Raw genomic sequence first — 15,232 nt, forward strand, 5'->3', positions numbered from 1 at the left:
GACATTATTCCTATTTTAACAGTGAGGCATAAAAAGGTGAAATAACTTGACCAAGATCAAATGGTCAGCAAATGGCAAAAACACAGAACTCCAATCCTGCATCTTCTGAATCCAAAAAAAGGCTCTACAAAATGATTTTGTTGAAATTGCAATGAGGTAATAGACCAATATCCTGAAAATATTAATAGCAGATACAGCATGTCATTAAAACATTTTAAATTTAAATTTAAAAATAGGTATGAGAGGGGTGATTCTAGAAGGAGGAAAAAAATAGAACTAATTTGTACAGAGAAAAAATATGGATGGCTTATCAGAGCTTATTAGACTCAAAAATGTAATAAGTTCAAATGAAGCTGAAAGACACAGAAATACAACATTTATAGAGCTACTTGTCTAAAACTCCGTTGTGTGCATAATTCAGTATATTACATCTCCTGTGATGGCCTTTGCTCTCAACTCAATTTAATTAATATAAATAAGTAAAAAGTATGGATATATTAATAAAATGGCATGAAGTGGTGATTTTTCCTTAAGGGTAAATTGTTTGGTTTCACAGGAAACTGCTGGGCTCACACAATCTCTGGCCATTCTTCCAACTCTAGAGCAACTTCAATACCACATTAGGGAATAGCTTTAACACCCCTCCCAGATCTCAAGCTTTCAAATTTAAAAAAAAAAGAAAAGTCCAAAGGTTTCAGAAGATCCGCAGAATGCTTATAAATTCTAAATTCTTTACACATAGGGAATTTACTAAAGCTTTGTTATCATCTCACAACAAATGAACTCAAAGCACTTCCTCAAAAAAAATGAGGAAATCAATTTTCCCACATTACATGGAGAAATCCAAACCAAACAGATCATTGAGCAAGTTAGGAGCAAATGCTCTGATTTCTAGCTTTTTCAACATTTCAACTTATAGCCACTGAGCATCTTCTGTATGTCTGGAACATTATGCTAGACACCATAAGAGGATACAAAATAGCTTAGATCTAATGCCTGTCCCTCTGGAGACTTATGAACATGCAACAAATCAAAATACAAGGCAGCCTAAATGTGCTGTACCTGGGGCACCAATAAAAGACCTATGGAAATACAGAAGACCAAGAGATTAGCTCCACCTCAACTGAAATTTATTCCAACTTCAGTGGATCCATAAAAGAAGTACAAAATTGGGCCTTAAAGGATTTGGCAGAATTCTTCTTCCTGCAGACTAGGAGGCCGATTCAGATAGAGAATGAGCAGTCAAAAGTATGCACAGTAATCTATATTTGTATGAGGAATGTTGGAGAGCATAAAAGGTAATGAACGCGCCAGGCAGTGGCTCATGCCTGTCATCCCAGCACTTTGGGAGGCCAAGGTGGGGGGGATCATGAGGTCAAGAGATCGAAACCATCCTGGCCAACATTGTGAAACCCCATCTCTACTAAAAATACAAAAATTAGCTGGGCGTGGTGGTGCGCACCTGTAGTCCCAGCTACTTGGGAGGCTGAGGCAGGAGAATTGCTTGAACCCGGGAGGCGGAAGCTGCAGTGAGCTGAGATTGCACCACTGCACTCCAGCCTGGTGACAGAGCGAGACTCCGTCTCAAAAAAAAAAAAAAAAAAAAGTAATGAATGTACATGAGTAAGGTAGAATCATTTCAAGGGGGGCTGGGCTGGAGTGGAGACTTTATTACAGAGACAGTAAATAATTAACGAAGGTTTTTCAGTAGAAAGTGACACACTCAGATATATATTTTGGGAAAGGAAATCAGAGAGTATCCGGGGGGCTAAAGGAAGGGGTTGCAGGTAGAGAAAGGAACTAGAGGGAAGTAGGGAGGTTACTTAGAAGTATGGCTACATTGCAAGTTAGCAGTCTGCATTCTGTTTTCTAGTATGACATATGATATATTGTCCATATGCCAATGTATCCATGAGCAAATGCAGTTACTATTTCTCACTGAAGAATGCATATCGGAATGTGAGAATTATGGCCTTACAGAGATGATCTTGAACATGCTCTAACTGAAAAAATTATTACTAACTCCTGACCATTGTGTTGATTATTATACAACCTAAATAATGGTGATAAGACATAAGTACTAGTGAGAAGGAAGGTTCTAGTTTCAACAACACTCTCAAGAAAACTGCAAGCTTCTTAAAACAAACCATTTCTCTATGCCATGCCAGTTTCTCCTAACAAATCATTACATGCTTGTCCTCATGCAAAAACCCTGCCTTCCTTTCACATCACACTATTTCTCATCAACCCCCTCTACCTTGCTGGCAACAGCTGACTGACCAGTCACCCTCTTCACTGTGGTTTTTGGCATGTGACCAATTAATGCCTTCACAATATCTTAAATAGCCAAGTGTCCATCCCACAAGTTAACTTCAAAGTTATTTGACCTGTTCTTTCCCAACTACCTTCACCAACATCGCACAACAGCAACCACTGCATGACCACACCTTAGACCTCAACTCTGAAAATTCTTATATTGCACTTCCTGACCAAATCAGCAACCTCTGACGGCAGATTTTTATCCTTCAGCTTTCTCATTCCTTTGCCCACAATCTTTGTTCTTCAATGTTAGCCACATGGAAGTACTTTACACGCTCCTAGACTAGTCTCGGTCAGTTTGTACCAGTCTTCATACCAGTTTTCATCTTCACTGCTCCTAATTTCTTGGTGCACTACTGTCCTATTCTACTTCAGAGAGAAGAAAGGCTATCAGTCAAGATTCACATCAATTTCCCCAGATCATCCCTACCAACTTACCCAGTCTTACTGGTTTCCTCCGAATCCTTCAGAGGAAAGATGCCTTGTCTCCTGTTGAATGCTATATACTCTTATTTTTTATCAAATCCCCTCACATCTCCTCATGTACTTTCTCCATCAACCTCTGTTGAATGGAATGAAGGCTTTTTATACTTCTTCTTTCAGCTTGCCTGTCACATTTATCACTCTTGATTATAACTTTCTTAAAATGTCTTACCTGGGTTTCCAAGACATCATTCTCTTCTGATTCTCCTCCTGTCATATGGCCTTTTATTTTTATTTGCTAGGCCCTTTTAGTAAATTCTTTCCTTAAAACATTAGAGTTTGAGAGTCTCATCCTCTTTTTATTCCCTGCACAATCTCATCCAAATCCCATGATATGAACTACCACCCAAGAGTTAACTGGCTCCGAAATATTTCACTCTAATCTCAATTTCTCCCTCAACTCTTGACCCTACTAATTATTATGTACTAATCTGTTCCACCTAGACTTTCTTGGTTAAGCTTAAAGTCCCTCCCCTTAACACAATATGCTAAAAAACAACAACAAAAACAAACTAGATTTACCACTGTTCTCTTCAAATCTTCTATTCTGTCTGTATTCTCTATGTTGGCAATAGTATCATTATCCACCTAATCTCCCAAAGTCATTACCTACCTGTCCTTGAGTCTAAACTTTTTTCCAGACTAGCAAAGCAGTTAAGAACACAGTTAATTACCTGAGTTCAAATCCTTTCCCTACCACTCTCCTGCTGTAAGACCGTGGGCAAATTACTTAACCTTCTGTGTCCCAATTGCTTCATCAGGGAGAAAATAATACCACACAATCTGCAAGGTGAGGTGGGTATTAAATGATTAACACTTGTAAAGTTCTTAGAGCAGTGACCGGCACAAAATGTTGAAAAACTGATTGCTGGTAGTATTGTTATTGTCACAGCCAATCAATCAACATGTAATATATATTTTATTTTCTATAAGATCAGCTCTTCTCCATATCCCAAACTCTACTTTCTATATTCATCAACTCTAAAAGATTACTATTCCATAGTTCATCAACATTAAAATGTGTATCTTCCACATTTGACCATCTCTGACCTGGGAGTTCTTACACTTGATAGCATTATGATGGTTTCATAGGCAGGAGGCAGCATTTTTATTTCTTAGGAGCATATGCATCTAGTAATAACAGCAATGATGCATCTTATAAGGTGTCTTAGGTTTAATGAAATATAGTAAGGGTCTTTTACCTATTTTAGCCTCCATTCTGACCTGCCAATCCCAACTGAAGACCCCAAATCCACTAATGCCAGAAGGCTATCTAGGACTGGGGAAGGACTCATAGAATAGCTACATCATTTTACAGATGTCAACTATTTCAATATCATTTCATCTTAAATCATAAGCATTTTGAAAGTAGTAGTTGCATTTCAAAGGCTTTTGAAAAACATTATAATAATTAACCTTCAAAGATTTATCCATTCATTCATTCACCTATTCAATAGATATTTACAATGTTCCAAAAAACTGTTGTAGGCACTGGGGATATAGCTAGAAGCAAAACAGACTAAAATCCCTATCCTCAGAGAGTCTTCATTTCAATAAGGGGATATTAAAAAATAAATAATATGGAATCTATATCATATGACACGTGTTATGAAAAAAAAAAAAAAGACAGGAAGAGGAACAGATTTATCACACTCCTGACAATCATGTTATAAAATGATTGCCCTGCATGGTGATAATGCTAACAACATTAGACCTTAGAAACATTTCCTCAAATGCAAGATCCCAATTAGGCATTTACCCAGGCAACTTTGATTTGGAAAAGAAGGAGTAAATCTCGAAAGCCTTGGGTTTACACAGCCCATAAGCTGATCCACTTTAGTTACCATACAAATAAGGACTGTGGTTATAGCTTCTCTGGCCTTGACGAGTCTTTGCCTTTTATATTTTAGGAGGTCATAAATGTTGAATGAGGGCACGTTTCAGGTCCATGACTTACTGCCACCTCTGCCTTTCCTGAACTCCCCAAACAGCTAAACGTTCTTTATAAAGGGCTTCAATGCTCTGAAATAGGTGCTCCCAGGTGGCTGTTATAACTCATTTCAACCTGGCCGAACAGGCATGAATAAGCCTCTTTATTGTTGGTTTTATCTTCCCTTCAGTGCTTGGGAATACAGAATGATCTCTAAAAGTTTACGCTTTATTAACTTCATGAGCCACCAGAAAAATTCCTTCAGTATCATCAGGATAATTTAGCAGAGGTACCTTCAGAGTCCTGATATGATTCTCAGCCTCACTCTTTTCTTTCTTAAAGTGCTTCATAAGCTCCTGGATATTCTGTTCGTGTTTTGTTTTCACACTCTGCAATGATGATGTGAGATCTTTCAGCTCCCTCTGGTGCACATCTCGTTCCAGCTTTAACTGTGTGATGATTGTAGCTGTTTCTTCATCCCTGGATTTTGCCTGTGCAGTGAGGTCAGAAAGGTCCTTAAGCACTGCTTTCTTGGCTCTCTCTTCCTCAGCCAATTTATTAGCAAGATCTGCTCGGATGGCACTCAGGTCCTTGATGGACTCTTGCATCTCAAGAAGTTTAGCTTTGTCCTGGGCCTGGCTCTTCTTGAGCTCTGCAATTTCTTCCTCCAAGTGAGCTTTCTCAACTTTCATCTGGCTTTGGATCTTACTCTGCTTTTTCAATTCGCTCTCCAGTCTATGGATGGTATCCAGGGAATTCTTAACTTCCAATTCAAGGTCAGCTTGATGAGACTTAATATCACGTAATTTCTCCTCCTTGGAGTGAAGCTCCTCCTCCTGAAGGGCACGCTTTGTTAGGACATCATTCAATTCCTTTCGAAGATTCTCTATTTGTTGTAATGCTGCATACAGCTGGGTTTTCAATTCATCCTTTTCTTTTAAAATCTATCAGGTTAAGAACATGAAGCAAAAGAAAAAAATAAAAGTTACTGTAAAATTCACCATAGACTCTGCCAGTCAGCAAAACAATGTTTAACCCACAAGGAAAAAAAAAATTCATCAAATAATTTTTGTATTTTTCCCATTTTTTAATAAAAATACTTTTAGGCCAGAAAGGTGGGGGGGAATATATAATTGTCCTGAAATAGCAACACACTGAAATATGTATTTCAAATTTTCATCACCAAAACTTATTTCAATCCATGGTCACAAATAATTATTTAAATGTAAGATAAAATTGAGCAAACAAATGGGGAAAGCAAAGACTCTCATTATAAAGAAAACTTACTACAGGTTGAAATAATACACTATTACCTAAAATAATACTGATGTACATTCCAATGATACACTTTTAAAAAGGAGAAACCCCAAAACAGAGATGGAAAATAATATAGGGAAGCATGCAGATACAATACAAGAAAGTTTACGGTACATTCAGCCATTATTTTTAAAATATCAATGGTGACGAAAACTCACCAATATGCAACTGGGAGCCTGGAAGCCCACAAAGAAATGAGATTAAGTCAGGAAAGGTTGGGAAAGGGCTCAAGAGAAAAGTCAAGGGCCTAGAAGTCCATCATTCTATGCCAGCCTCTCTAAGATTTACATGGAAGGACAGAGGCCAAGGGTTAACTCTTCTGGCCTCTAATTCTCACCACCTAATCATTGCAAATAAAATAATGGGCAGCCAAGGGAGCCAAGATTGTTTTCTATACAACACTGGCACCAAAGATAATCTCCGTGAAACAGGAGGGAAAAAAAGGAACCAATTAAGACTCATTTCAGAATTACAAATAATGAGTTAAAATGCAAATATTTGCAAGACATTTCTACACTTCACATTTTATACTTCAGTGTAAAACAATTTATGACAAAAATTTAATGAGTCAATCACTCCAAAAAAAAGTTTCCCCAATCCTGCTCAGTTTTAACTGAAAGAAAGAAAGAGCACAAAGATAACATGAGAACTAACAAAAGGAGATGAATAAGCAGTTGAGCTCTGACCAGAAAGAAGTGAATTTGATTTTCAGTTCAATCACGGGCAATTCTATGGCCTCGGGGAAATCATTTCTCTTACTAGAGAAAATAATAATAGCTATTTCATAAGACTGTGATGAAGATTAGTGAGAAAGGGGAAACAAAAAGTTGGAGTAGAATTTAAGTTCGAGGAGGTATTAGGGTCTCAGGGAGGTGTTTATGCAAGGTAGTGATCAAAACTGTAAAAAGAGCCAGGCCCAGTGGCACACCCTATAATCCCAGCTATTTGGAAGGCTCAGGCGGGAAGATAGCTTTGGCTCAGGAGTTCAAGACCAGCCTGGGCAACATAGCAAGACCCCGTCTCTACTGTGAAAAGACGGGATAACTGAGGAGAAGGAACTCTGGAACACAGATGAAGGAGTTCACTTCCGAAAGAATGTAAGGTAGGAGAAATATAGATGAGCCTAAGGGTAGATGTATTATTTTTCTATTGCTTCATAACAATTTCCAACAGACTTAGTAGCTTAAAATACACATTTTTTATCTCACTGCTTCCAATAGGTTGAAAGGCCAAGCAAGGTATTCAGCTTAAGGTCTCCTAAGACTAAAATCAATGTATCAGCTGGCCAGGGCGCTTGTCTGGAGGTTCTGAGGAGAATCCATGTCCAAGCTCATTCAGGTTTCTGATACAACTTGTTTCCATACAGTTGTAGGACTTTGGGTCCCCATTTCCTTGCTAGCTTTTGGTCAGCGATTATTCTGAACTTCTAGAAGCCAACCTTGTTCCTTGGCTCATGGACTCTGCCATCTTCAAAGCTTGAACAGCTTGATGAATCCTTCCGAAGCTCCAACTCTCTCTGACGTCCCCTTCTCTCAATAGCCAGAAAAAAAAAAACCTTCTATTGAGGGCTCATGTGATAAGATTAGGCCCATCCAGATAATGTGATCACAGGAGTAATGTCTTATCATATTCATTGGTTCCAGAAATTAGTGTGACTTCTTTGGGGAGGGTCATTCTACTTACCAAACTGGAGAACACAAGAACTGATAGAATCAAATTTGGGCTGTAAAGATAGCATGGGAGGGACTGAGCGAGGGTAGGGACCTTCAATATAGTGATATATGTTTGAAGCAGATAACTTAGCCCCCTTGGCATGAGTTGAGAGACTTATAGGCAGTGCTGAGGATTAAAATCATATTTTCATAATGAAGTCATACCATGTAAAGTGTCTTTAATTATGAAATATTATATCTTCCTGAAGTTGGATTAAAAAGCAAAGATATTTCTTTTTCACACATAACAGTAAGTCCAGAGACAGGATGGTTCAAGAAGAATCCCTCAAAGCTCAGGCTCTGCTACTCTATAACTCTCCATCTTTTGCTGTCTTTGCAGTGTTCCAAGCTTCACATCAATTCCTGACAAGGGTGACAGCCAGAGGGCAGACAGTCACAGACCATGTGAGTCAAGTTTGGAATTTCTTTGGCAATACAGATACTAAAAACTAAGCTCTGTCGATCTGATTCTGGTTAATTGCTTGCCTAGTAGCCACAGCTTAAGATTCTGTCTAGGCATTTTCTCTGAGTCTGAAAATGTCAGTGTCTTTACTGTCATCTCAATACCCTGGACATACCCAGGGCCCTCAAATGAATAGCCTTTATCTTGAGGCAAATCAAAACAGTGGAATTGGGTTCTCTTTGTCTGGCCAGGATCTTTTTTTTTTTTTTTTTTTTTTCTGTTTCCTGACTCCCTCTTGTGCTTGCACTAATTTCAGTTTGGATAAATAATTCAACTTTTCCAAACCTAAGGGGTTCCAAATTATCAGACTCATAGGCAATTTGGATTATAGATTGTAGACTTCAGGCTCCCCACCTTAAACAAACAAACAGAAACGAACAAAACTCTCTGCTTTTAGACAGACCAGTTTCAACCTAAACTTGTCTTTCTCTTGTAAGACCTTACTGAAGGCTGAAATATGTACACAACATACTCCAACATCCTAAAGTTTTCCTACCAGTCACTTAATACTATCCTCTTATTCACAGCATCAATGCCCCTAAATATGATTTCTGTTTAAACCAATTGCTTCCAACCACATAGCAAGGTTTACCAACTTTCCCTTTAGAACAATATGATCCTCTCTTGCCCCTTACCCTACTTCTCCTCTCGGTCAACCCTACAATTTAGGCTATTTTACTTATGGCTCCTTATTTCTAGAACTCAAAGTTTCCATAAACTTGAATTTTTTCTGCTGAGGGTAAGAGAAAATCCCAATCCGAAATGGCTTAACCCACAAGAAAATCATTCCAGGCAGAACTGCTCCAGCTCTCTGCAATTTGACAGTATGTCAAAGCTTTGGCTCCAGCTCTCTGCAATTTTGTACCTAGTGATGGTCTTACATTAATTATTGAATGGAATGGATAGGGGGAGGCAGGAGGTAACCATGAATACTATGGAACCCAACTGATATTTCTATGGAAGTTTTGCTGTTACTGTTAAGGAGAAGGAGTGGAAAAAGTGGAAAGTCGGGTTGACTCCAGATTAGAAATCGGTAAAATATATGAGGGAGAAGAAAGAAATTGAAGATGTGATGAGAACAACATCAAAGTAGCTTTCAATGAAGTCCAATGTGACAGGAAAAAAACTGAATCCAGAAACTGGCTAGTAAACCAGAGGAATGTAGAAAGATCAAAATTGGGTATGAATAGTTAAAAAAGCTAGGGTGTAGGGAATAGAAGAATTATGAAAGATCAGAGACTGAGCTTCGGAACTGAAGGCTTGGACATGAAACAATTACAGATGAAGATAAAATTTAAACACAGAAATTAGACGCTGAAGTAGAATTATTTCAGTGACGGTCACTATAAAATAAGACATTAGTGAATTATAAGGATACAGACTTCAGTAGGTTGCAGACTTGAACTTTGAAGTTACTAAGGATGACGGCAAGAATTAATGTCATAAAACAGGTTGATGCAAAGCCAAGTGCTAAAATCCTTGAGAAATGTAGGGGCATAAATGAAAAATAGCCAGCAGTCAAGAGCAAAAATGGGGAAAGAATGCTCTAACCAGGCAAACCAAGCTTCCAAAGAAGGGGCAAAAGAAAAGATTACTGAAAGAAGGCCTGAAAAAAGCTGTGCGAAGCCAAAAGAATGATACTATTTAAAACCATGGCAATTACAGAAACAGAAGCCAACTCCTCAAAGACGTGAATACAAAGTATTATATACGCAGTTTGGTTTTTTTTTTTTAACTAACTAAAAGGTAGATGAGGGGCTTGCTCAATGTTTTTTTTGTTGTTGTTTTGTTTTGTTTTGTTTTTTACCTGCATGTGAGGGAAAATGCAGGCAGATGGCTGGATTATACTAATACATACTCTAGCATTTCTTGAACTGTATGTGATAGGACTCCATATGCATTCAAAAAATCATATACTTTGGCACTGATCCTTCTTACTTTCAACCATTCAAAAATTCAGATTTTACAAGATAGCATATATTACATATAACTCTTTTTTTCTGTCAGCAGGAAGGAAATACACAGAAGGAATAGATGGTAATTTAAGATTCTTGAAGTCAAATACTATCAAGCAAAAAGCTCAATACATAAGCAAGCCAATTATTCTGCCAATTCAGCAGGGGAAACAAAACAAAACAAAACAACAACAACAACAAAAATCCCAAGAAGTATTCCCATTATCCATATTAAAAAAGAATATGAAAAAAAATGGAAACATTCAGAAAAGCATATACTATGATTGGAGTCCAATTTTTTCCTTTATCGTTTTCAAAGCACCATTACAAACCAATGATTTCAAACAGTACCTTAAAAGAAAAAGAGAAGCAAAAATACCACAACTTACGACTAGATTATTTGTATCTATAAAGTTTTCAGTCTCCTAATATGTGTTACCTACATATCCCTGAAGTACACCACAATTCCCTGATGTAAATATCCATTGCATTGTCTTTGAGGAAAGTGTACAATTTGATCCATCTGGGTTTTTTTTTTCCCCTGCAGTGATACGCGATTTGATATTACACATCCTTCAGTAATGAAGTAGTTTTGTAATATGATATATATCTGATAACCTTACTAAGATTCCAGAAATGTAAAAAGCAGGAAAAAAGAAATAAATCAGAGAAATTTTTAAGAGAAAAAAAGCTTTTTGCCGTTTTGTATATTTTTTAAGTAACAAATCTTAAAGCAGAAAATAAATTATGCTAGAAAAAGAGAACTGGTGGTAGACACAGAACCATACTGCAAATATGAGGAGAGCATCATATGATCATATAAAATGACTCAGTAAGGCTACTTATTAAGTAATTTATTCTTTAAGCCACAATATGTTATATTTGTAAATCAGTATAATTTTTATTTTAATACACCCTTCCAAAATACCTTGCAGTCACTTTTTGAAAATAATTAGCCCTAAAAATCAAAAAGAAAGTAGCTGTATTATAAATGTGTTAAGGTGGCTTTGTGATTTTATTGAGAATTAAATATCCCTTTGAAATAATATTCAGTAATACATTTTTAAATTTTTTTTCCAAAATTATTTACCATGTATTTCCACATCACAGATTTACTGAGCACATTTCTTACTCTTTTTTCCTTGAAAAACCATTGCTCTAACTGCAACATGCTGCATTAATTTTTAAGGCTTTTAAAGGAGAAATTACAATGCCTGCTGTGATAATTGTGATACGACCCTAACTGTGGCAATCACTTTAAAACTGCTTCTTTGCTTATCATTAGTAATGCTAAGTGATAAAAATAATTGGAAGTATTCTGGGAAATGATTGTTAAACAATTTTTAATATTCTGAAAACTCAACCTAGAAAAGTCTCAGCACCATGGACTGGAATTACTGTATGATAACATGGACCCTTCTAAATCTCTTCTAATTAAGTAAAACCTCCAGATGAGATTTTCAATCAATCAATTCTCTCAACCACTCCTCTCGCTAGCTACCTACCTACCTTACAGTCAGGCTCATTGAGCCAGTTGCCAGATCAGGCTGACAACAGAATAATCAAGATAGAGCAATTTCCTGGGATCAGATCAGTTCAGACACAAGTCTGAAAGCTTCAGAACTGCTTTACTTCAGGGCAACCAGCCACCCAGTATGTGTCAGATGGGTTAAAATGAAAAGCAATCCACAGTGAGTGCAAAATGATCATTTCTTTCATCTTCTATATGTCCGAGAAATTCATATGTAAAAGATAAAGCATCTTTTCCATGACAGCTCATCTGAAATAAGTATCTGTCACTCTTAAATGCTGAAAACTGATTTTATAAATATAATGCCCTATATTTTGTTTTCTTTTCAAAGAAAGTCAACTTATCCAAATGATTATTCTTTTGGAATGTACAGAGTTCTCGACAAGTGACAAATGACAAAGCACAAATGATAAACCAAGAATAAACATGGATAAAAAAATCAATCACGACTTTCCTGCTTATTATCTTATAAACATCTGGGTTTAATTCAACCCAAAGATATATCAGATGAGAATCAACATAGGAGCATAAAATCCATTTAAAGTAACTGATTATACAAGAGAAAAGATAATGTGAAATGCATACATATATCAGTGAAATGCGTTTTGTTGCTATCAAAAGGGCATAAAAGCAAAGTCTTGAAGAGGGTTGTGATCCCATAACACTGCTCAGTCAGTGAGATCCTCAGTGTCACGCATTTAAGTAAGCCCATCACAGTTGCTGCCAGTAAATGGCCCTAGTAACTACTGCATTTTTTAAATGCTTCTTTCTAACCAATACCTAGTTGAAAATATATAAATAAATGAGATTTTAAAATAAATGCATTGGGAGGAAAGTTGTGTGAAAATAACAAAGATTTAGTCATTTTTTTTCCATTGGAATATTAGAAGATTAAACAATAATTCAATATAGGAAACTTACACCTAAATTGGGGCAAGGGGTACATCTATTTATGGGCCAACTCTGAAAAGCCACATAATATTAAACTATGAAAAGGCTTAAGTAAAAAATATTTAAAAATTAACTTTTGTACTTTGAAACAGCCAAGACATAAGGATTCGTCTATCAAGGACATATTGATTATATGTACAGTATGGCACTCAAGTGTTTTTTCAAAGGATAGATGAATGAATGGTTGAATCACATTGAAAACCGTTCCTTAGGAATGTGGCTTTTATACCTGATTATTCTTGCCTGTCAGTTCATCAACAGTTTCAGATTGTTTCTCCAACGCTCGTTCTAACTTCTTATGCTTAAGCTTCCACTGCCTAATGGATTCTTGAGCTTTCAGTTTCAGGTCTTCCCTCCTCTTCTCCGCCTCCTCTTTCAGAGCCTCTGACTGCTGGAGCTCACTGAGGTACCGCTCAGCCTGCTTGGTTGCATCCTCCGCATGGCGAGTCAGCTCTGAGATCTGAAGGTCAGCATGCTTACGCTCGGCCTCACATGTGTCAAAGTGATTCTGGATCTCCTTAAGTCGATCCAACATCTGCAGTTGCTGTTTTTCCCCATTCTCCAGTTCACGTGTTAAATTCTACGAATAAAGCATGCAAAACATTAGGAACAAATCCTTGTCAAAATTGGATGTGTAGCATATCATCAAACAAGAATCTCTAATGTCACTGAAGTGGAAATCATCTGTATTAAAATTCATTAGCAATCAATTTAGAAATCATGAGTCTTTTTCTTTGTATTTTATAACCACATTAGTTGGGAATAATTTTTTATATAAATATTCCCTTTCTTGGACTATTTTATCATCCAAAAAGGGAAAATATGTGTTTCCAATTGACTGTCACTAAAATAGAAGGCACTTTTGAAGCGAACAATGTGCATTATTTTAGTAACAACCTAGTGTTTTGTCCAGCTGAAGAAATATCGATGTTTTAAAATTTGTCAGGTTATCAGAGAACTATTAGTAGCAATCATATATAACATTTTGCCTTCTGGCAGCAAAACAGAATTATAATAAAAAATAAAAATAAGTAACAATAGAGTGACAGAAACATCAGCATAGATAACATATTAGGTTCCCAATAAAGTGTTTATACATTATTTCCAGATAAACCAACATAATATTATACATTGAAGCACTTATCTCAAGCTGATATGAATCACTATAGTACAGATTTATAAATACACTTAATTTAACTTTATTTTGAATATTTCTCTAATCAAGAAAAAAACCTTCAGTCTAGCTTCCCTGAAGCCAGGATGGTGATTATATATTTGGAAATTACACTAAATCATCATGATTAATACATATTTTAAGAATAAGTAAATATCTATTTTAAGTTTAAACATGAGAAGATATTGTTTTATGCAAGTTTATACAAATAAAATAATCATTAACATTAAGCCATTAAAGAATCATTAACATTAAGCCACTTTTGTAAAGCTTTGTAAGAAAGTGATAAATTCAGAAATAAAGCACTTACAATGAGTCACATAAGCTGACCCTCCTGAGCCTTAGTTTCCAAATACTTAGTGGCAACAAAAGTAACATAAAAAGGTCATGTGTCCGAATAAGAATGGGTTCCAGGGGTTGGAATGAGGCTGTGAGTTGGATAAACAATAAATAACATCTCCACTGTACTAAGGTCCGGACAAATGAAACTAGAAACATTTACCAAGCTCCTTTGGCCCCAACAGCAGAGGTTCCAGGTCCAGATTCTATGATCTATGGCTCAAATAAGGTTAAATATAATTTCCCTCATGATTAAAATCATGGTTTGACATTATGGCAAACATTTTTTTAAATGCCTCAAAAACAAACTTCATTTTCTGGGCGACAGGTTTGCATTTGTCCAGTTTGCTAAATTCAATGCAGCCTGGAAGATGTCTCATCCACCCAAATGGTAAATTGAGAACTGTGTACTTGTGTGTGTAGAAAATTCTAAAATAAGATGAGAAAACCCTTGTAATTGTGGTTTACCTTTTGCTCTTATTCTAAAAGTTTTACCAATATGCTAGAAATCAACTTGATTAACAAGCAGCAATCAAGTGATTCCTGATCAAAAGAGAAATGGAACTGATTTTTCTTTTCAACAAATACTTGGAAAGAAAGTGGTTATACTTCCTGTTCATCAAGCATATGGTTTATAGAAATATTAATAGGACATAGTTTTAATACCAGAGAAGCTAACTCTAATTAGGGAGGTATTCTCACTAACCACTAAATTATACTAGATAGTCCTAGGTGCTAAAACATGATGGAGAGTTACCTAAAGGGGTCTATAGACTACAATGTGGCTGTAGAGAGTCTCCCATAGGAGGTGATGCATAAGCTGAGATTTAAAAGAAAAGAAGCTAGCAATAATAATCAAATAACTATGACTGTGACTGAAATGCATTGAGTACTCGAGTTATACCAAAGATTGAATGCTGTATATGAATTACCTCATTCAATCCCAACACAAATCTAAAATGAGACAATATTATCCCCATTTCAGTGAAAAGTAACCAACATTTGCTGGAGTTAATAACTTGCTCAAGATCACACAGCTAATAAGTGAGGGCATAGGG

At 36.4% G+C, this 15,232-nt stretch overlaps 1 protein-coding gene across 16 annotated transcripts in view; it reads right to left on the minus strand.

Moving 5' to 3' along the window:
• The window catches only part of CEP128 (centrosomal protein 128), a 482,534-nt gene that overhangs the window by 302,901 nt on the left and 164,401 nt on the right, over positions 1-15,232 (minus strand). For 15 of the 16 annotated variants that reach the window (XM_047431023.1, XM_011536493.3, XM_011536491.3 and 12 more), the window contains 2 exons: positions 12,891-13,241; positions 5,026-5,676 (listed from right to left, as the gene is read on the minus strand). In XM_047431023.1, coding sequence (XP_047286979.1) covers positions 5,026-5,676; positions 12,891-13,241 — 1,002 coding nt within the window. Of the gene's footprint in view, positions 1-4,561; positions 5,677-12,890; positions 13,242-15,232 lie in introns of all 16 variants that reach the window. The other variant, NR_157142.2, reaches the window with a different exon arrangement.

Source organism: Homo sapiens, chromosome 14, assembly GCF_000001405.40.
Source record: "Homo sapiens chromosome 14, GRCh38.p14 Primary Assembly".
In the NCBI taxonomy this organism is placed as follows: domain Eukaryota; kingdom Metazoa; phylum Chordata; class Mammalia; order Primates; family Hominidae; genus Homo; species Homo sapiens.